The 20173-nt window shown below is 49.4% G+C and overlaps 1 protein-coding gene across 4 annotated transcripts in view, besides 1 other annotated feature; it reads left to right on the top strand.

The window, feature by feature from the left end:
- The window catches only part of RCC1L (RCC1 like), a 46684-nt gene continuing 27484 nt past the window's right edge, over positions 974–20173 (top strand). For 2 of the 4 annotated variants that reach the window (NM_148842.3, NM_030798.5), the window contains exons 1-9: positions 974–1362; positions 4007–4136; positions 7984–8112; positions 10128–10194; positions 11433–11484; positions 13485–13569; positions 16007–16188; positions 17160–17247; positions 18702–18875. In NM_148842.3, the coding sequence (NP_683682.1) occupies positions 1039–1362; positions 4007–4136; positions 7984–8112; positions 10128–10194; positions 11433–11484; positions 13485–13569; positions 16007–16188; positions 17160–17247; positions 18702–18875 (1231 nt within the window). In that variant the 5' untranslated portion in view covers positions 974–1038. Of the gene's footprint in view, positions 1597–4006; positions 4137–7983; positions 8113–10127; positions 10195–11432; positions 11485–13484; positions 13570–16006; positions 16189–17159; positions 17248–18051; positions 18264–18701; positions 18876–20173 lie in introns of those variants that run through there. The other 2 variants (NM_001363447.2, NM_001281441.2) reach the window with 2 other exon arrangements.
- Positions 1069–1288: a silencer, noted in NCBI's record as "silent region_18290". NCBI's record gives its function as "represses an Ori minimal core promoter by ATAC-STARR-seq in GM12878 lymphoblastoid cells {active_cell/tissue: GM12878}" and the evidence as "EXISTENCE:reporter gene assay evidence [ECO:0000049][PMID:35858748]".

The raw sequence follows: 20173 nt of genomic DNA, 5'->3' as shown, positions 1-20173 counted from the left end.
GACAGGGTCTCACTCTGCTGTCCTGGCTGGAGTGCAGTGGTGCAATCATGGCTCACTGCAGCCTCGAACTCCTGGGCTTAAGCCATCCACCTGCCTCAGTCTCCTAAGTAGCTGGCACCACAGGTGCACACCATCACGCCGAGCTAATTTTTAAATTTTTTTGTAGAGAAAGGGTCCCACTATTTGCCCAGGCTGGTCTCGAACTCTCAAGTGATTCTCCCACCTTTGTCTTCCAAAGTGCTGGAAGACTGGGTCCGCCGCAGAGAATACATTTCATAGCCCGGGAGACTGGTGGTTTCAGTGCCTTCATGAATTTTACTCCCTGTAGTAAGAGGCTTTCCATGAGCAGTCTTGTGGTCACCACATTTTATTAGTGGGTTTTCCCCAGTCATCTTCCATAAAACAGGCCTGCACAGGCTGGGGGCGGTGGCTTATGCCTGTAATCCCAGCACTTTGGGAGGCCGAGGTGGGTGGATCACTGGAGGTCAGGAGTTCAAAACCAACCTGGCCAACATCGTGAAACCCTGTCTCTACTAAAAATACAAAAATTAGCCGGGCGTGGTGGCGTACGCCTGTGGTCCCAGCTACTCGGGAGGCTGAGACACGAGAGTCACTTGAACCCAGGAGGGGGAGGTTGCAGTGAGCCTGTCGATAGGTTTGAGGGGACCTGGGCAGGGGATGCGAAGGCAGCAGGGAATCGTCCACTCCAGCTCGCTGTCGCTGGAGGACGGCCTGGGGCGGCGTGGGAGCAGACCGGAGCGGAGACGGCTGCAGCAAGGCCAGGTAAGAAATGTCGCGGGGCAATAGCAAGGGAGCAAAACAGGACACGCAGTTTCGCTAAGGGACAAGAATCCTAATCCCGCCCCTAACCCCGCCCCTCACCATCGCCACGCCACGCCTCCCTGAGCCTTGGGCTGCCGTCAGCGCCTTTGCCTTCAACCAGGAGTAAAAGTGGCCGTAGCCTCTTCCGGCGAGGACTGGTGTTAAGGGTCACGCAAGATGGCGGCGCCCAGAGGCTGCTGAGGCGCGGAACGGAGGATGGCGCTGGTGGCGTTGGTGGCTGGGGCTCGGCTGGGGCGGCGGCTGAGCGGGCCGGGGCTGGGGCGAGGGCACTGGACGGCGGCCGGGCGCTCCCGGAGCCGGCGCGAAGCGGCAGAAGCCGAGGCGGAGGTGCCCGTGGTCCAGTACGTGGGCGAGCGCGCTGCCCGCGCCGATCGCGTCTTCGTGTGGGGCTTCAGCTTCTCGGGGGCGCTGGGCGTGCCTTCCTTTGTGGTGCCCAGCTCCGGGCCCGGGCCCCGCGCCGGCGCCCGACCGCGCCGCAGGATCCAGCCCGTGCCCTATCGCCTGGAGCTGGACCAAAAGGTGCAGGCCGCGGCTTCCTCCTTCTCTCCTTCTCTCTCTTCCGCGCTCCCGGCCTCCCTCGACCTGTTCGGCTCTCTTCAAGAAGTTGGCTCCTCTGGGTGGACAGACTTCCGGCAGGACGACCCTCGAGCTGGCTGCAAGCCCAGGAGGGGAAGGCGTTAGGGGTGGCCATCAACATTTATTGGGTGGCAGTGCCAGATGTTGTGCCGGGTCGTGTCATTCGCTTAGCACCCAGTGAGTCGACAGTTATTCCCAATTACAGGGAAGGAAGGGGAGGCCCAGAGAGGTTGAGGCCCGAGGCCCCACCGCTGCTAGCTGTTTATATGCGGTGGAATTCTCACTCAGGCCAGCGTGACTGCAGGAGTTCTGATGTTAGGAAAGCAAAATTCAAAAGTCCATTGAAAATGTATACCAGCTGAGGTGTTTCAATGAACAACTCAGAAAGGGGATTTTTTTGTTTTAATTTATTTTTTAGAGACAGGGTCTCGCTCTGTCGCTCAGGCTGGAGTGCAGTGGTGTCATCATAGCTCACTGCAGCCTCGACCTCCTGGGCTCAAGAGATCGTCCTGCCACCTAGCCCGGCAAATTTTTGTATTTTTAGTAGAGATGGGGTTTCGCCATGTTTGCTAGACTGGTCTTGAACTGAACTCAAGCGATCCGCCCGCCTTGGCCTCCCAAAGTGCTGGGATTACAGGCGTGAGCCACTGTGCCTGGCTGAAAGAGGATTGATTTTAAAATCAAACCATCTTTGGTCTATATCCAACCTCACTGGAAGCCCCGGTTTTCTCATCGGGTCAGTGAAGGGAGGATTGATGAGAGTGTAGTTAAAACACCCAACAAAGACCTTGGGGTTGTCACTGTGTTAAATTCACAGTAGCTGTAGTACTGAGTTTTCCTTTTCATGGTAATAGCCTGAGTACGTAACGGTGTAGTGTCAGTGAAAAGCATGCAGTCAAGTTACTCAACCTTTAGAAGCCACACTTTCTCATCTGCCTTATACTACTGCTAACAGCAATAAGAAATAGAAAATATAATAACAAAAGCAATAACAAAAACTAAACAACAACAACAAAAAGCATACAATATAGGCCAGGTGCGGTAGCTCATGCCTGTAATTTCAGCACTTTGGGAGGCCAAGGCAGGAGGATCATTTGAGTTCAAGAGTTTGAGACCAGCCTGGGTAACACAGTGAGAACTCATCTCTCTGTCTCTCTCTCTCTCCATATATATATATATATATATATATATATATGTATATGTATATGTATATGTATAAATTTAAAATACAAAATAGAGTACAAAATATAGGTTTGTTTTTTTTTTTTGATCTGGCTCTGTTGCCCAGGCTGGAGTACAGTGGCGTGATCATGGGTCACTGCAGCCTCGACCTCCTGGATTCAAGTGATCCTCCTGCTTCAGCCTCCCATGTAGCTGGGACCAAGCTTAAATTTTGATTTTTTCATAGAGACAGGTTGTCACTTTGTTGCCTAGGCTCAAAATATAGCTCTTACCTTGAGATGGGTACTATTCCCTATAAGGGCTTTAGCTATATTAACTCGTTTAGTCTTCACAACAGCTTAGTGAGAGAGATGGTACTATTATCATCTTTACTTTTTAGAGAAGGAGAAACAGATATAGAGGTAAAGTAATCTATCTCAGATCACACAGTTGGTAAGGATGGGGCCAGGATTCAAAACTAAGGAGATCTGTCAACTTACCTACCGCGCTAAGAGATGGTGGTGTTTTTTGTTTTGTTTTGTTTTGTTTTGTTTTTGAGACAGAGTCTTATTCTGTCACCCAGGCTGGAATGCAGTGGCGCCATCTTGGCTCACTGCAACCTCTGCCTCCCAGGTTCAAGCACTTCTCCTGCCTCCCGAGTAGCTGAGATTACAGGCGCACGCCACCATGCCTAGCTAATTTTTGTATTTTTAGTAGAGATGGGGTTTCACCATGTTGGCCAAAGCGGGTCTCAAACTCCTGACCTCAAGTGATCTGCCTGCCTCAGCCTCCCAAAGTGCTGGGATTACAGGTGTGAGCCACCGTACTCGGCTGCTGCTAGATAGTGTCTTGATCTTGGTGAATGGGGATGGTAATACCTAGTGGTAAGCTGACATAGACCATAAATAGACTATATTTATGGTCTATGTGTAAATCACCCTTCATAGAGTGATTATAAAGATTAAATGAGATAATACTTATCAAACATATAGTAAATGCTCAATAAATGCTAGTTGCTGTCTTAATAATATGTGTTCTTGGGCCAGGCACGGTGGCTGACGCATATAGTCCCAGCACCTTGGGAAGCCAAGGCGGACAGATCACTTGAGGCCGGGAATTTGAGATCACCTGGGCCAACATAGTGAAATTCTGTCTCTACTAAAAATACAGAAGTTAGCCAGACGTGGTGTGCACACCTGTAGTCCCAGCTACTTGGGAGGCTTGAACCTGGGAGATGGAGATTGCAGTGAGCCGAGATTGCGCCACTGCACTCCAGCCTGGGCAACAGAGTGAGACTGTCTCAAAAACAAAAACAAAACCCCCGTAAATAGTATGTGTTCTTGGATTTGATAAATAACCTGTCATTTACTACTGAACAAACTTGACATTATAAATCAGTTCATGCTTTGTGGGAACTGCTTTTCAGATTTCATCTGCTGCTTGCGGCTATGGATTCACACTGCTGTCCTCTAAGACTGCGGATGTTACGAAAGTCTGGGGGATGGGACTCAACAAAGATTCTCAGCTTGGATTTCACAGGAGCCGGAAAGATAAAAGTGAGCATCCCTACCTTGTCTCCTCTTTGCCGGGATTGGTCTGAGAAAGCTCTTTTTTTGTATTTTTTTTGAGACAGAGTCTCAGTCTGTTGCCAGGCTAGAGTGCAGTGGCGAGATCCTGGCTCACTGCAACCTCCACCTCCCGGGTTCAAGTGATTCTCCTGCCTCAGCCTCCCGAGTAGCTGGGATTACAGGCACATGCCACCATGCCTGCCTAATTTTTGCATTTTTAGTAGAGTTGGGGTTTCACTATGTTCACCAGGCTGGTCTCGAACTCCTGAGCTCAGGTGATCCACCCTCCTCAGCCTCCCAAAGTGCTGTGATTACAGGCATGAGGCACAGCGCCCAGCCCTCCCTTTGGTGTTCAAGAACATGGTTACATAAACAAAGAAATAGCAAAGAAATAGAGGAAGACTTAAAGGGATGTTGTTTGAAACCATCTGGGCTAGGTTATTTTTTAGCCTCTTTGGTAACAATGTTGAACCCTCAGGCAAAAGGCAAGCACCTGGCATTTGCAGATAAGTAAAGATGTTCTTTTGTGGCCTAAAAGAGATGACCTTTTTTTCCTGGCTTGGAGACAGACAGCGTGAAGTACTCTGCAGTGCCTAGAATATGTTTTGGAGGGAAAAAGCATTGAAATCGTTAACATGGAGGCTTTATTCCAAATGTTTGAGCCTTGGATTGTAAAAATGTTAGAAATAACTTATAATGGCATTTTAAAAAGTAGACATTAGCCTGGCTGGGCGTGGTGCCTCACGCCTGTAGTCCCAGCACTTTGGGAAGCCGAGGAGGGCAGCCTGTAATCCCAGCACTTTGGGAAGCCGAGGAGGGCAGATCACTTGAGGCCAGGAGTTCGAGACCAGCCTGGCCAACATGGTGAAACCCCGTCTCTACTAAAAATATAAAAAATTAGCCGGGCATGGTGGCACGCACCTGTATAGTCCCAGCTACTTCGGAGGCTGAGGCACAAGAATCTCTTGAACCTGGGAGGTGGAGGTTGCAGTGAGTCGAGATCATGCCACTACACTCCAGCTTGGGTGACAGAGTGAGACTGTCCTAAACAAACAAACAAACAAACAGAAAAGTAGACATTAGCTAAAAATTACTGTGAGAACAGTAAGAAATATTTCCTTGGCCAGGCACAGGGGCTCACGCCTGTAATCCCAGCACTTTGGGAGGCCGAGATGGGAGGGATTGCTTGAGGCCTGGAGTTCCAGACCACGCTGGGCAACATAGCGAGACTCTGTCTCTAAAAAAAAGAAATGAAAAACGAAAAAGAATTAGCTGAGCATGGTGGCATGCACCTATAATCCTAGTTACTCCAGAGGCTGAGGTAGGAGGATTGCTTGAGCCCAGGAGTTTGAGGCTGCAGTGAGCGGTGATTGCGCCACCGCACTCCAGCCTGGGCAACAGAGCAAGATCATGTCTCTTAAAAAAAAGAAAAAAGAAAGAGTTCCTAAAATAGAGAGGAAATGCCAGGCGCAGTGGCTCACGCCTGTAATCCCAGCACTTTGGGAGGCCGAGGCGGGTGGATCACGAGATCAGAAGTTTGAGACCAGCCTGACCAACATGGTGAAACCCCGTCTCTACTAAAAATGCAAAAATTAGCTGGGCATGGAGGCGCGCGCCTGTAATCCCAGCTATTCGGGAGGCTGGGGCAGGAGAATCGCTTGAACTGGGAGGCAGAGGTTGCAGTGAGCCGAGATCGCACCACTGCCCTCCAGCCTGGGCGACAGGGCAAGACTCCGTCTCAAAATAAATAAAAGATAAATAAATAAATAAATATAAAATAACATAGGAAATTACCCAGAAGTACATACTGGACAAACCTTTCATTTTTGTTTTTTCCTGTTCCCTTGTTCACAGACAAATACATTTTTACATACATAGCATATATTTTGTTTTCTGTCTTTTTTCATTTATTTTGTATCAGATATCTTTTTTGTTTGTTTGTTTGAGATGGAGTCTTGCTGTCGCCCAGGCTGGAGTGCAGTGGCATGATCTCAGCTCACTGCAACCTCCACCTCCTGGGTTCAGGTGATTCTGTTGCCTCGGCCTCCTGAGTAGCTGGTACTACAGGCGCCCGCCATCACACCTGGCTAATTTGGGGATTTTAGTAGAGACGGGGGTTTCACCACGTTGGCCAGGTTGGTGTTGAACTCCTGACCTCAAGTGGTCCACCTGCCTTGGCCTCCCAGAGTGCTGGGATTACAGGTGTGAGCCACCATGCCCGACCTATATATCAGATGTCTTTTATAAGTCAGTATAGAAGTCTTTATTAGCTGTAAGATGTTACATTACTTTTTTTTTTTTTTTTTTGAGTCAGAGTTTCACTCTCGTTGCCCAGGCTGGAGTGCAATGGCGTGATCTTGGCTGACCGCAGCCTCCTCCTCCTGGATTTAAGCAATTCGCTTGCCTCAGCTTTCCAGGTAGCTGGGATTTACAGGCATGTGCCACCATGCCTGGCTAATTTTGTATTTTTAGTAGAGATGGGGTTTCTCCACGTTGGTCAGGCTGGTCTCAAGCTCCCGACCTCAGGTGATCCACCTGCCTCGGCCTCCCAAAGTGGTGGGATTACAGGCGTGACCCACCGTGCCCGGCCCGCGTTACATTTTTTATACCTTTTATTCAGAGCAATTTTAGACTTACAGAAGTGTGCAGAGTAGTATGATGTGGCATCACCAGCTTCAGGCATCATCAACTCATGCCAGTCTCGTTTTCTTCATTTTTCCCACCTTCCCCCTCAATAAATTTGAAGCAAATTCCAACAGTTTAATTTTTTGGGGGGGTAAGGGGAGACAGGGTCTTGCCCTGTCACCCATGCTGGAGTGCAGTGTCATGATCACTGCTCACTGCAGCCTTAACCTCCCTGGCCCAAGTGATCCTCCCATCTCAGCCTCCAAAGTAGCTGGAAGTGATCCTCCCACCTCAGCCTCCCAAGTAGCTGGGACCAACAGGCATGCACCATGATGCTTGGCTGATTTTTGTATTTTTGTATTTTTTTTTTAAAACAGTGTCTCGCTCTGTCTCCCAGAAGGCTGGAGTGCAGTGGTGCAATCTTGGCTCACTGGCAACCTCCGCCTCCTGGGTTCAAGCAGTTCTCCTGCCTCAGCCTCCTAAGTAGCTGGGACTACAGGCGTCCACCATCACGTCTGGCTAATTTTGTATTTTTAGTAGAGACGGGGGTTTCACCTTGTTGGCCAGGTGGGTATCAAACTCCTGACCTCAAGTGATCCGCCTGCCTTGGCCTCCCAAAGCGCTGGGATTACAGGCATGAGCCACTGCCCGGCCAAGATTTCTTTAATAAGAAGACGAAGTATGCATTTTTTTTTTTTTTCCAGATGAAGTCTCGCTCTTGTCCCCCAGGCTGAAGTGCAATGGCGCAATCTCAGCTCACTGCAACCTCCGCCTTCCGGGTTCAAGCAGTTCTTCTGCCTCAGCCTCCCGAGTAGCTGGGATTAGAGGCGCCCGCCACCATGCCCGGCTAATTTTTGTATTTTAAATAGAGATGGGGTTCACCATTTTGGCCAGGCTAGTCTCGAACTCCTGACCTCAGGTGATCTGCCCGCTTCGGCCTCCCAAAGTGCTGGGATTACAGGCATGAGCCACTGCGCCCAGCCAGAAGACCAAGTATGCTTTTCTGGAACCCGCATTATGTAATAGAGACAGCCCATGCCATGGGCTGGGAGTTGGGCTTCTGGTCCTTGCTCTGCGCCTAACTTACCTGTCTTGATGAGTCTTTCCTACCTCCGACTCTCTTTTTTCCAGTGTAGTAGCGTGGAGTTGGACAGTATGATTTCCAGTGGTAGAAATGCATGCCTCAATCAGTGTCCTGTGTCTTTTCCAGCGAGGGGCTACGAGTATGTGTTGGAGCCCTCACCCGTCTCCCTGCCTCTGGACAGACCTCAGGAGACACGGGTGCTGCAGGTCTCCTGCGGCCGAGCTCACTCTCTTGTGTTGACTGACAGGGAAGGAGGTGAGTTGACCTATTGAAGGGTGATGGAAGAGTGCAGGGACCATTTCACTGTGAACTGGAGCCTCAAATCAGGCCTGAGTGGCTTGATCGATTGAGCCACATCTAATGAGTGAAATGTGGTATTTCCTGAGCAGATCAGTGGGATTGCTCAAGACAGCTGGACAAACCTTGTTGATTCTTTATTTATTTTTATTTATTTATTATTTTTTTGAGATGAAGTCTCGCTCTGTCGCCCAGGCTGGAGTGCAGTGGTGTAATCTCGGCTCACTGCAAGCTCCACCTCCTGGGTTCACGCCATTCTCCTGCCTCAGCCTCCTGAGTAGTAGCTGGGACTACAGGTGCCCGCCACCACATCCAGCTAATTTTTTGTATTTTTAGTAGAGACGGGGTTTCACCATGTTAGCCAGGATGGTCTCAATCTCCTGACCTCGTGATCCGCCCGCCTTAGCCTCCCAAAGTGCTGGGATTACAGGCGTGAGCCACTGCACCTGGCCACCTTGTTGATTCTTATGTGCTCTGCTCTCTGGTTCTTGGAAAATCACATGTATTTATAAATGTAACTGCACACAAGGCAGCCTGATCCATTTGCTATGAAGTCCCTGAGCTGGGTGGTGTGTAGACGTGGCTTTTTCTTTTTTTTTTTTTTGAGACAGAGTCTCGCTGTGCTGCCCAGGCTGGAGTGCACTGGTGTGATTTTGGCTCACTGCAACCTCTGCCTCCCAGGTTCAAGCAATTCTCCTGCCTCAGCCTCCCGAGTAGCTGGGATTACAGGTGCCTGCCACCACGCCTGGCTAATTTTTGTATTTTTTGTAGAGACGGGGTTTCACCACATTGGCCAGGCTGGTCTTGAACACCTGACCTCAGGTGATCCGCCCACCTCGGTCTCCCAAAGTGCTGGGATTATAGACGTGACCCACTATGCCCGGCCGGAAGTGGCTTTTTCTATTGGAATTGAAAGAAGCCTATTTGCTAACACATACTCTAAGTAGTTGGGGGCTTTCAGAGTCCGGGCCCCTGGGTAACATGGCCTCTTTTTAGAAACGGGGTTTTTCCAGGGAAAGGTCAATGTGATCACATTTTTCACATTTCATTTTTCTTTTTTTTTATCTGAGACGGAGTCTTGCTCTGCCACCCAGGCTGGAGTGCAGTGGCACGATCTCAGCTCACTGCAGCCTCTACCTCCTGGGTTCAGGTGATTCTCCTGCCTCAGTTTCCCGAGTAGCTGGGACTACAGGCACCCACCACTGTGCTTGGCTAATTTTTGTATTTTTAGTAGAGACAGGGTTTCACCATGTTTGCCAGTCTGGCCTCGAACTCCTGACCTCAAGTGATCCACCTGCCTTGGCCTCCCAAAAAGCTGAGATTACAGTCATGAGCCACTGTGCCTAGCCTCAAATTTCATTTTCTGGCTGAGTGTGCTCTGTAGGAGAAGGCGGAGGTGGCATTTAGGAGCTCTTTCTTTTTTTTTTTTTTTAATTAAAAAGTAAACGTTAATGTCGAAAATGCAAACTTGGGGAAGATGGGAAAGATCACACACAAGGCTGTCACTTCACACTTGGAAGGTTGCACAGCGGCTGGGCAGAGGTGCTTCTCACTTCCCAGATGGGGCAGTGGCCAGGCAGAAGTGCTCCCCACTTCCCAGACAGTTGACGACTGGGCAGAGGCGCTCCTCACTTCCCAGACAGGGCAGAGGCGCTGCATTTAGGGGCTCTTTCTAGAGGGGATTGGTGTTAAGGGCAGCCTGGTGACAGGTGTGGGGAGTCCGGTTCTAGCCTCAGAAGGTGGAATTCCCAAGAAGTGGATCTAGGGCCAGGAGGGGAAGGCGGGTCTAGATTCCCCCATGCCCCTTGTGAGTTTCTGCAGAGCCTGAGAAAGTTGGAGAAGGAAACCCAGGGGCAGTTGGGGGGTGGGGGTGAGTAACCAGGACGGGACCACCAGCGAGACCCCTTCCAGTCCTCACATTCTAGGATCCCACAAACCTGCAGAACTGATTTGATTGGTGGTGTTATTTTTAGTCTTCAGCATGGGAAACAATTCTTATGGGCAATGTGGAAGAAAGGTGGTCGAAAATGAAATTTACAGGTGAGTTCCTAAAAGGCCTACCCTTCCCCATGTTGAGTTAAGTGTCAAAACATTTCTAGGGAGATGACTGTGGTAAACCCGCGGGGCGGTCAGAGGCATGCCTGAGAGGGGGCCGTGAGAACTCAGCAGAAAGCTGGGGGAGTGCTGTCTGTTTCAGGTTGAGCGCCATGTGTTAGCTTGGTGGGAGAAGAGGGGGCATGAGCATTGGTTTTAATGTGTAAAACCTCCGGATAAATTTTTTTTTTTTTTTTTTGAGATGGACTCTTGCTCTGTCGCCAGGCCAGAGTGCAGAGGCGCAATCTCGGCTCACTGCAACCTCTGCCTCCCAGGTTCAAGTGATTCTCCTGCCTCAGCCTCCTGAGTAGCTGGGACTATAGGCACGTGCCAGCAGGCCCGGCTAATTTTTGTAGTTTTAGTAGAGAGGGGGTTTCACCATATTGGCCAGAATGGTTTCCATCTCTTGACCTCATGATCTGCCTGCCTTGGCCTCCCAAAGTGCTGGGATTACAGGCATGAGCCCCCACGTCCTGCCCTCTTAGGATGAATTTTTACAAATTAAGTTTTTATTTTACCAAATTGATTTTTAAACATTCCCCTTTATTCATTTTATTTTTATTTCATTTTTTTCATTTTATTTTTATTTATTTTTTGTTTGTTTGTTTGAGGTGGAGTCTCACTGTGTTACACAGGCTGGAGTGCAGTGGTGAGATCTAGGCTCACTGCAACCTCCGCCTCCCAAGTTCAAGCGATTCTCATGTATCAGCCTCCCGAATAGCTGGGATTACAGGCGTCCGCCACCGCACTTGGCTAATTTTTTGTATTTTTAGTAGAGATGGGGTTTCTTCATGTTGGCCAGGCTGGTTTCAAACTCCTGACCTCAAGTGATCCGCCCACCTCGGCCTCTAAAAGTGCTGGAATTACAGGCGTGACCCACCGCGCCCGGTGAGTTCTTTTCATTTTAGTGTTTAAAAACACTTCCCTCTAGTTCCTTGTATGTTGTTGGAGGGCCTTAACACCACTCTCAACTTTGGCCATGTGTTAAAATCACCTAGGATTTTGTTTGGCTTTACTTTCATGACCAGGCCTGACTCGACCTAAGATTTGACCTTGAGAGTTACCCCAACAGTTACTGTGTGAGCGGAGGGGACGGGCCATCAGTTGGGGTGACAGGGAAAGGGCTGCACAGTGCTTGTCATGACCGCATCCCTTGCTTCTTCCCAATTTGTTCCTGGCTGTAGTGAAAGTCACAGAGTCCACAGGATGCAGGACTTCGATGGCCAGGTGGTCCAGGTAAGAGAGATGGGCCGAGAGCTGCTTGTTGTGTTCCTGGGGTGCTTTTGAAAAGTTGAGATTTGGGTAGGGTGATGGCAAATTTGTTAGGGGGATTTTCTGAATTAAATTATTTTAGTAAAAATTGTAGCCTACTTACTATAGGCCAGGATTTATGCTAGATTCTAGGGATACAAAGTTTAATAAGATTTTGGGGCCGGGTGTGGTGGCTATACCTGTAATGCCAGCACTTTGGGAGGCCGAGACAGGTGGATCACCTGAAGTCAGGAGTTCCAGACCACCCTGGCCAACATGGTGAAACCCCGTCTTTACTAAAAATACAAAAATTAGCCGGGTGTGGTGGCACATGCCTGTAATCCCAGCTACTCAGGAGGCTGAGGCACAGGAATTGCTTGAACCTGGGAGGTGGAGGCTGCAATGAGCTGAGAGATTGCACCACTGCACTCCAGCCTGGATGACAGAGCAAGACTCTGTCTCAAAAAAAAACAGATTTTTGGGGATGACACTCTAGTGAGTGAACAAGTTAAAAAGCTAACTGAGGCCGGATGTGGTGGCTCACACCTGTAACGTCAGCCTCTGGGGAGGCTGAGGCAAAAGTATCACAGCACTTGCTGTATTCATGCATATGTGCATTGAAATATTTATGATAGGTACCTACCATGAGCCAGGCACTATTCTGGGGATGAGAATAAAATGGAGAGCAAAATACAGCTGGCTTAGAACACCACAGCACTAATCATACTGTGATACGGCTGGCTTTTTGGTTTTATTTGGAAATTTTTTAGAGGCAGGGTCTCATTCTGTTGCCTAGGCTGGAATGCAGTGGCACGATCATAGCTCACTGCAGCCTTGAACTCTTGGGCTCAAGTGATCTTGCCTCAGCCCCCTGTGTAGCTGGGTCTACAGGTGTGCATCACCATCCTCGGCTAATTATTTTAAAGAGACAGATTCTCACTGTGCTGGCCAGGCTGGTCTCAAACTCTTGGCCTCAAGCCATCCTCCCGCCTTGGCTGCCCAAACTGTTGGGATTATGGGTTAAGCCACCATGTCAGGCCTCCTTCACCTATTAGACTGAGTGACTTTGTGCAAGTTACCAGACATCTCCAAGATAGTTTCTTTTTCTTTTTTTTTATTTTAGTGCAGTGGCACAATCTCAGCTCAGAGCAACCTCTGCCTCCTGGGTTCAAGCGATTCTCGTGCCTCAGACTCCCGAGTTGCTGGGATTACAGGCATGTGCCACCATACCTGGCTAATTTTTGTATTTTTAGTAGAGATGGGGTTTCACCATGTTGGCCAGGCTGGTCTTGAACTCCTGACCTCAAGTGATCCACCTGCCTTGGCCTCTCAACGTGTTGGGATTACAGGAGTGAGTCACTGTGCCCAGCTGAGATTCAGTTTCTTACTAGGTGGTTTTGGTTATTGACTTAACACAATGCCTGGTGTAAAAATTGTTCAATAGATGGTGCTTTTCTTTAGGCAGTTAGAAAAATGAGTTTGGAACTGAGGAGAGTTGTTGAGACCAGAGATCACAGTGCAGAGGCCACAGTTAAGCATTGAGAATGGCTCCCATCTCCCAGGGTAGCATGAGGAGTGAGGAGAGAGGAGGGCAGGAGACACACCCTGGAGAGAGATCCCAACAGCAAAGGGTCTGAAGTAGAGGCTGAGTGTGTGAGCAAGGCTGGAAGCTGTGAAAGTAGAAGAGAGGGCTGGGAGGAGAAGGGTTATGGAGAAGGGGTGGTTCTTTGGAGATGGCGTGGGATGGATGGCAGAGCTCTTGGATTTGCCCCTTTGGAGATCTGCATTTTACTTTAACAAGAGCAGTTTCAATGCAGTGGGAGACTGGTAGATTGAGAAGGAGTAAGATGAGCATGGAGCAGTCTGCCTGGACCATGCTCCAGGTGCCCAGGAGCGGCAGGCGATGGTGCTGGTCCTTCTTTGGATGAGGACACCAGGGTTCTAAGTATTTCCTCTCATCCCCCTTACCTCTGTTTGTCTGCTAGGTCGCCTGTGGTCAGGATCATAGTCTGTTCCTGACGGATAAAGGAGAAGTCTATTCTTGTGGATGGGGTGCTGATGGGCAAACAGGTAGAGTTCTTTTCATGCACTGGGGTCGTGAAACTTCTCAGCCCGTGTCATGTGGAGCTGTGAGCTGTAGGGCATTTATGGGCTAGAACCCTTCTTCCTTAATTCAGCTCTTACCTCTTATCACTTTCTGAGGAACACTATTCTTGGCTCCATCGCCCAAGCTGGAGTGCAGTGGCGCGATCACATCTCACTGCAGTCTCAAACTCCCAGGCTCAGGTGATCCTCCCACCACAGTCTCCAGAGTAGCTGGGACAACAGGTGTGAGCCACCAAGCCCAGCTAATTTTTTGTAACAACAGGGTTTCGCCATGTTGCCCAGGCTGGTCTTGAACTCCTGACCTTAAGCAGTCTGCCTGCTGTGGCCTCTTGGTGGGCTGGGATTCCAGGCAGGAGCCACTGTGCCCTGCTGTAATACTTTTTTTTTGCATCCCTTCCATTCCCCTCAGCCCTGGCTCCCATAGAAATGAACTGAGAGAAGGCTGGGTGCAGTGGCTCACACCTGTAATCCCAGCACTTTGGGAGGCCGAGGTGGGCGGATCACTTGAGGTCAGGAGTTTGAGACCAGCTTGGCCACCATGGCGAAACCCCATCTCTACTAAAAATACAAAAATTAGCTGGGTGTGGTGGCACACGGCTGTAATCCCAGCTACTAGGAAGGCTGAGGCAGGAGAATGGCTTGAACCCGGGAGGCGGAGGTTGCTGTGAGCCAAGATCGCGCCATTGCACTCCAGCCTGGACAACAGAGCAAGACTCTGTCTCAAAAACAAACAAACACAAACTGCAGAGAAAAGGACAGGCAGGACCTGCCCAAAGGCAAATGTCATTATTGGCACTTGGTATGGGGGTAACCCCTGGCCAGCAGCCCAAGGCAGAGCACTGAACTGTAGACTCTTGCCTTCATCCAGGGTCCTTAAAGGGGCCTATTCCTCAGCAGGTGAATGGATCAACCGTGGTGCATCCAGACAATGTAAAGTTTGTTATTTAGCACTAAAAAGCAATAAGCTGCCAACCCATGGAAAGGCATGGAGGAAACTTAAATGCATGATACTGATTAAAAGAAGCCTATCTGAAAAGGCTACATACTATAGGATTCTAGCTATATGGCATTCTGAAAAAGACAAACTATGGAGACAGTAAAAAGATCGGGGCCGGGCGCGGTGGCTCATGCCTGTAATCCCAGCACTTTGGGAGGCCTAGGCAGGTGGATCACGAGGTCAAGAGATCGAGACCATCCTGGCTGACACGGTAAAACCCATCTCTACTAAAAAATACAAAAAAAATTGGCTGGGCATGGTGGCGGGCGCCTGTAGTCCCAGCTACTCAGGAGGCTGAGGCGGGAGAATGGCATGAACCCACTGTGCCCAGCCTCTCTGCTTATTGTTAACCATGCCATTTTAAGTTCCCTGTTTTTTGGGAGTGGTGTTGGGGATGGCATGGGCTCTTAGAGATTTTCTTTACTTTTAGCAAGACCACCAGTGCATTAGAAATTGCTTGTTGTGATCAGGCAGGTGGCTCACACCTGTAATCTAAGCACTTTGGGAGGCTGAGGCAGGAGGATTGCTTGAGCCCAGGAGTTCGATACCAGCCTGGGCAACATAGTGAGATGCTGTCTCTATTTCAATATAAAAAAATTTTAGACCAGGCGCAGTGGCTCACGCCTATAATCCCAGCACTTTGGGAAGCTGAGGCAGGCGGATCACCTGAGGTCAGGGGTTTTGAGGCCAGCCTTGCCAACATGACGAAACCGCATCTCTGTGAAAAATACAAAAATTAGCCGGCTGTGGTGGTGCGTGCCTGTAATCTCAGCTACTTGGGAGGCTGAGGCACAAGAATTAAAGAACTGCTTGAACCCAGGAGCTGGAGATTGCAGTGAGCCGAGATCGCACCACTGCGCTGCAGCCAGAGGAACAGAGTGAGACCGTCTCAAAAAAAAAAAAAAAGTTGTATGAGCATGCAACTAAGCAGATTAGGGTTTCTTTTCTTTCTTTCTTTTCTTTTTTTTTCTTTTTTTTTTTTTTTTGAGAGTCTCATTCTTGCCAAGGCTGGAGTGCAGTGGTGTGATCTTGGCTTAACTGGAACCTCCACCTCCTAGGTTCAAGTGATTCTTGTGCCTCAGCCTTCTGAGTAGCTGAGATTACAGGCATGTACCATTATGCCCTAATAATTTTTTTGTAATTTTTTTTTTTTTTTTTAAGTAGAGACAGGGTTTCGCCATGTTGACCAGGCTGATCTCGAACTCCTGACCTCAAGTGATCTGCCCATCTCAGCCTCTGAAAGTGGTGGGATTACAGGCGTGAGCCACTGCACCCAGCCCCAGACTGGGATTTCTGAGCTGATACTTGTTAAGTGCTTAAAACTGCACTTGGCATATAGTAAGTCTGCCTATGTGTTTGTTAAAAGAGCGAATAATTAAAAATCTGTATTTTCCACTGTGTTAGGTCTGGGTCACTACAATATCACCAGCTCGCCCACCAAGCTGGGTGGAGACCTGGCGGGAGTGAACGTTATCCAAGTTGCCACCTACGGTGATTGCTGCCTGGCCGTGTCCGCCGACGGAGGACTTTTTGGTTGGGGAAACTCGGAGTACCTGCAGCTGGCCTCTGTCACTGACTCCACACAGGTATGCAGTCGCCGACAGCGTGGTGCTGGGAGGTTTGGAAACATTAAAGTGTTAAGGGGCCGGGTGTGGTGGCTCACACCTGTAATCCCAGCACTTTGGAAGGCCGAGACAGGCAGATGGCTTGAGGTCAGGAGTTCAGGACCAGCCTGGGCAACATGGCAAAACCCCATCTCTACCAAAAAAATACAAAAATTAGCCAGGTGTGGTGGTGCATGCCTGTAATCCCAGGTACTGGGGAGGCTGAGGCATGAGAATTGAATCGCTTGCAGATTGCAGTGAGCTGAGATCGTGCCACCACATTCCAGCCTGGGTGACAGAGCAAGACTCTGTCTCGAAAAAAAAGAGCAAATAGGCTGGGCGTGGTGGCTCACGCCTGTAATCCCAGCGCTTTGGGAGGCCAAGGCAGGCAGATCACCTGAGGTCAGGAGTTCGAGACCAGCCTGGCCAACCTGGTGAAACCCCGTCTCTACTAAAAAAAAATACAAAAATACCACCTCCACCTCCTGGGTACAAGCAATTCTCCTGGCTCAGCCCCCCGAGTAGCTGGGACTACAGGCACTTGCCACCACGCCCAGCTAACTTTTGTATTTTTAATAGAGACAGGGTTTCACCATGTTGGCCAGGCTGGTCTCGAACTCCTGACCTCAAGTGATCCACCTGCCTCCGCCTCCCAGAGTGCTAGGATTACAGGCGTGAGCCACCACACCCGGCCACAAATGTCATTTTATGTTAATTTTGGTTGACATCTGCCTCGTCCACTAGACTAGAACTCTCTGAGGGTGGAAACTGGGCCTCTTTTGCTTCCCATTCTACCCCAGCACCTAGTATGATGCTTGGCATGTGATGTTCAGGAAGTATCTGTGGAGTGAATGAATGAACTAGGACTCAGCTACTCTGTACCTAAGACCAGAACACTTCCCGGTCCTTACTGGCTTGCTTTCCTAACAGTGTGGCTCCTTTCTTTGGTTCAGGTGAATGTGCCCCGCTGCTTACACTTCTCAGGAGTGGGGAAGGTGCGACAGGCTGCATGCGGTGGCACGGGCTGTGCAGTGTTAAACGGTGAGACCTTCTTTCCGGTGGCTCATTGGGAAGCTGTAGGTAGATTACATAGGGAGTGGTCAGTGTCCATTGGATTTGCAGGCCGTAGACCTTAGCCTTAGGAGGGTAACATGGCTGGGCGCGGTGGCTCACATCTGTAATCCCAGCACTTTGGGGAACTGATGCAGGAGGATTGCTTGAGGCCAGGAGTTCCAGACCAGCCTGGACAACATAACGAGACCCTGTCTCTACCAAAAAATGGAGAAATTAGCTGGAAGGCTGGGTGTGGTGGCTCACACCTGTAATCTCAGCACTTTGGGAGGCCAAGGCAGGCAGATCACCTGAGGTCAGGAGTTCAAGACCAGCCTGGCCAACGTGGTGAAACCCTGACTCTACTAAAAATAGAAAAATTAGCCAGACATGGTGGTACATGCTTGTAATCCTAGTACTTGGAAGGCTAAGGTGGGAGGATTGCTTGGACCCAGGAGGCAGAGGTTGTAGTGAGCCGAGATTGCGCCACTGCACTCCAGCCTGGATGACTCTGTCTCAATAGAAAAAGAAAAAATGAAAAATTAGCTGGGCATGGTGGTGCACACCTGTAGTCCCAGCTACTCAGAAGGCTGAGGCAGAAAGGTCCCTTGAGCCCAGGAGTTCGAGCTGCAGTGAGCTATGATCATGCCACTGCACTGGGCAACACGGTGAGACCCTGTTTCAAAAAAGGAAGGGACTATGGCCATGGGAAGATGGCATTGGATTAGAAGATGGCATTACAGGGTGTGAATGAAGTTCTTAACAAAAAGCGAATAGTCTGCGATTTATCTGTAGATACATGGCCACAGAGCTGAGTCATCCTAGAGCAAACCTCTGGAGTGGAGAGCGAACTACTTCATTCCCCTCCCTTAGCCTGGGCCAGAGAGACTCCAGCTCTGCCTTCTCCAGCCAAAAAATCAAAGGCAGATGGGAGAACAGCCTTCAGCTTTGGATAACGATGAAATATCTGGCACCACTGATGAATATTAAACTTTCTATAACCAAAACATCATTTCTAAGAGTTTTAAGAATCTGGCCAGACATTGTTGATGTGTTTGGCCTTCTGATCAGTGTGAAACACAGAGCTGTCATTAGGGGGAGAAAACATCCTCCAATTCTCTGGTATTCGTATGGGTTTTCTGGATGATTTATACGCTCGTCCCTTCCAGGTTACTAACCCTCAAGATGTGGGAAGTTTGTGTTCTGAGCCAGGAGAGCTGGCGAGACAGACTCCCCCAGCAAGAATTTAAGCAGGGGAGAGAGAATTATTATTCTAAATCTCTGTCTGCATGTTCTTGCCAAGCAAGGAGGAAAAAAACAAAACAAAAAAAAAACAAAAAAAAACCGTGTGGATGTCATAAACCTTGGTGGTGTAGTTTGAGTTTCTGGTGAGGGAGGTTCTTACTTGGATGGACTTACTGACCCTTGTTTTTACTGTAATGTAGGAGAAGGACATGTTTTTGTCTGGGGCTATGGAATTCTTGGGAAAGGTCCAAACCTAGTGGAAAGTGCCGTCCCTGAAATGATTCCACCCACTCTCTTTGGCTTGACGGAGTTCAACCCAGAAATCCAGGTTTCCCGCATCCGATGTGGACTCAGCCACTTTGCTGCACTGACCAGTAAGTTACCAAGCCCGGTGGCCCTGGTGTGAGCCCAGCAGAGGTTCTCTGTCTCCAGTTCAACCCCAAACTGCGGGCAGCTCTCAGGTTCCACCCATCCAACAGAACGGCGCCTTTGTACTGATAACTCAAGCAAGGGCTAAGCCAGAAGTTGTTTGCCTCGAGGTTGTATAATGTCTTGTTTTCCCCCCCTGGAGTTTTAATTTTGGTTCGTTTGGTTTGTGGGTAGGCTAACGTGAACGTGCATTTTCTCAAGAGAGCACCCGTCGGTGGTAGGAAGGGGCATTGCTAGTACGTCGGGTGCTGGAGGAAACCAGCAGAGGCTTGGCGGATCCATGGGTGGGTGATTAGGAAGTGAATGTGTGGGGCTTAATCCCATTCCCTGGCCGAGCCCAGACCCTGATCTGACCCAGGATATGGGATGGCAAAAGGCCGATTTGTCAGACTGTCCCGTGGTTTCACGGAGGTAAATCTACCGATTTCTCCAAAGTGCCGGGGTAGAGAATGATGAAAGGGGAGAGCAAAATGGAGGTTTTTCCCAAAGGCCTGCCAGATTACAAAGCCACAGAATATCCGCTTACCCTGCAGGGTAAGGGTAAGGAATGTGTCCTTTTCTTGGTTACATCTCTTACTCCACCACAGTTACCGTGGGTTCAATTTGCTGCTCTTTAGTTGACTCGAATAGTAAAACTGTCCTGAATTAATTTCATTCTGTGATTCTCAAGTAAATTAGTTATTTCCTTGCAATTAAAAGAATCTTTTCATCTCATGGCAAGTAATTGTTTTCTTTTTAAACATCCAGGCCGGGACAGTCAGTTGGTGTCATCTTTGGTTGAGTTCTCTGGCCTCATTCCCACGTGGGGCCTGTCCCAGATGCTCACCCTCTGTACCAGGGTCCTAACTGCTATTCACTTATTGTCTGAATTCCAGGCTCCAGAGGCCGTCAAACAGGCAGGCCTGGGTTGTTATGGCTGCCAGCTGGAGTTTTATCTGGCTCTAGGCTGAAGCACTGAAGTGGCAGTGGTCATGACTAAGCCAGAGAATTCCTGGCCACTGCCCAGCCAGAGTGGCCACTTGCATTTGCAGCTGAGTGTAGGTCTCATGAATTCTTTTTTTTTGAGTTGGAGTCTCACTCTTGTTGCCCAGGCTGGAGTGCAATGGCGCGATCTTGGCTCACTGCAACCTCCGCCTCCCGAGTTCAAACGATTCTCCTGCCTCAGCCTCCCAAGTAGCTGGGATTACAGGCACACACCACCACGCCCGGCTAATTCAGTGTCATGAATTCTTAAAGCTATTTT

The sequence above is a fragment of the Homo sapiens genome, chromosome 7 (assembly GCF_000001405.40).
Source record: "Homo sapiens chromosome 7, GRCh38.p14 Primary Assembly".
Classification (NCBI taxonomy): Eukaryota; Metazoa; Chordata; class Mammalia; order Primates; family Hominidae; genus Homo; species Homo sapiens.
The sequence above is the reverse complement of the archived record's forward strand: the minus strand, read 5'-3'. Positions and strand labels throughout refer to the sequence as shown.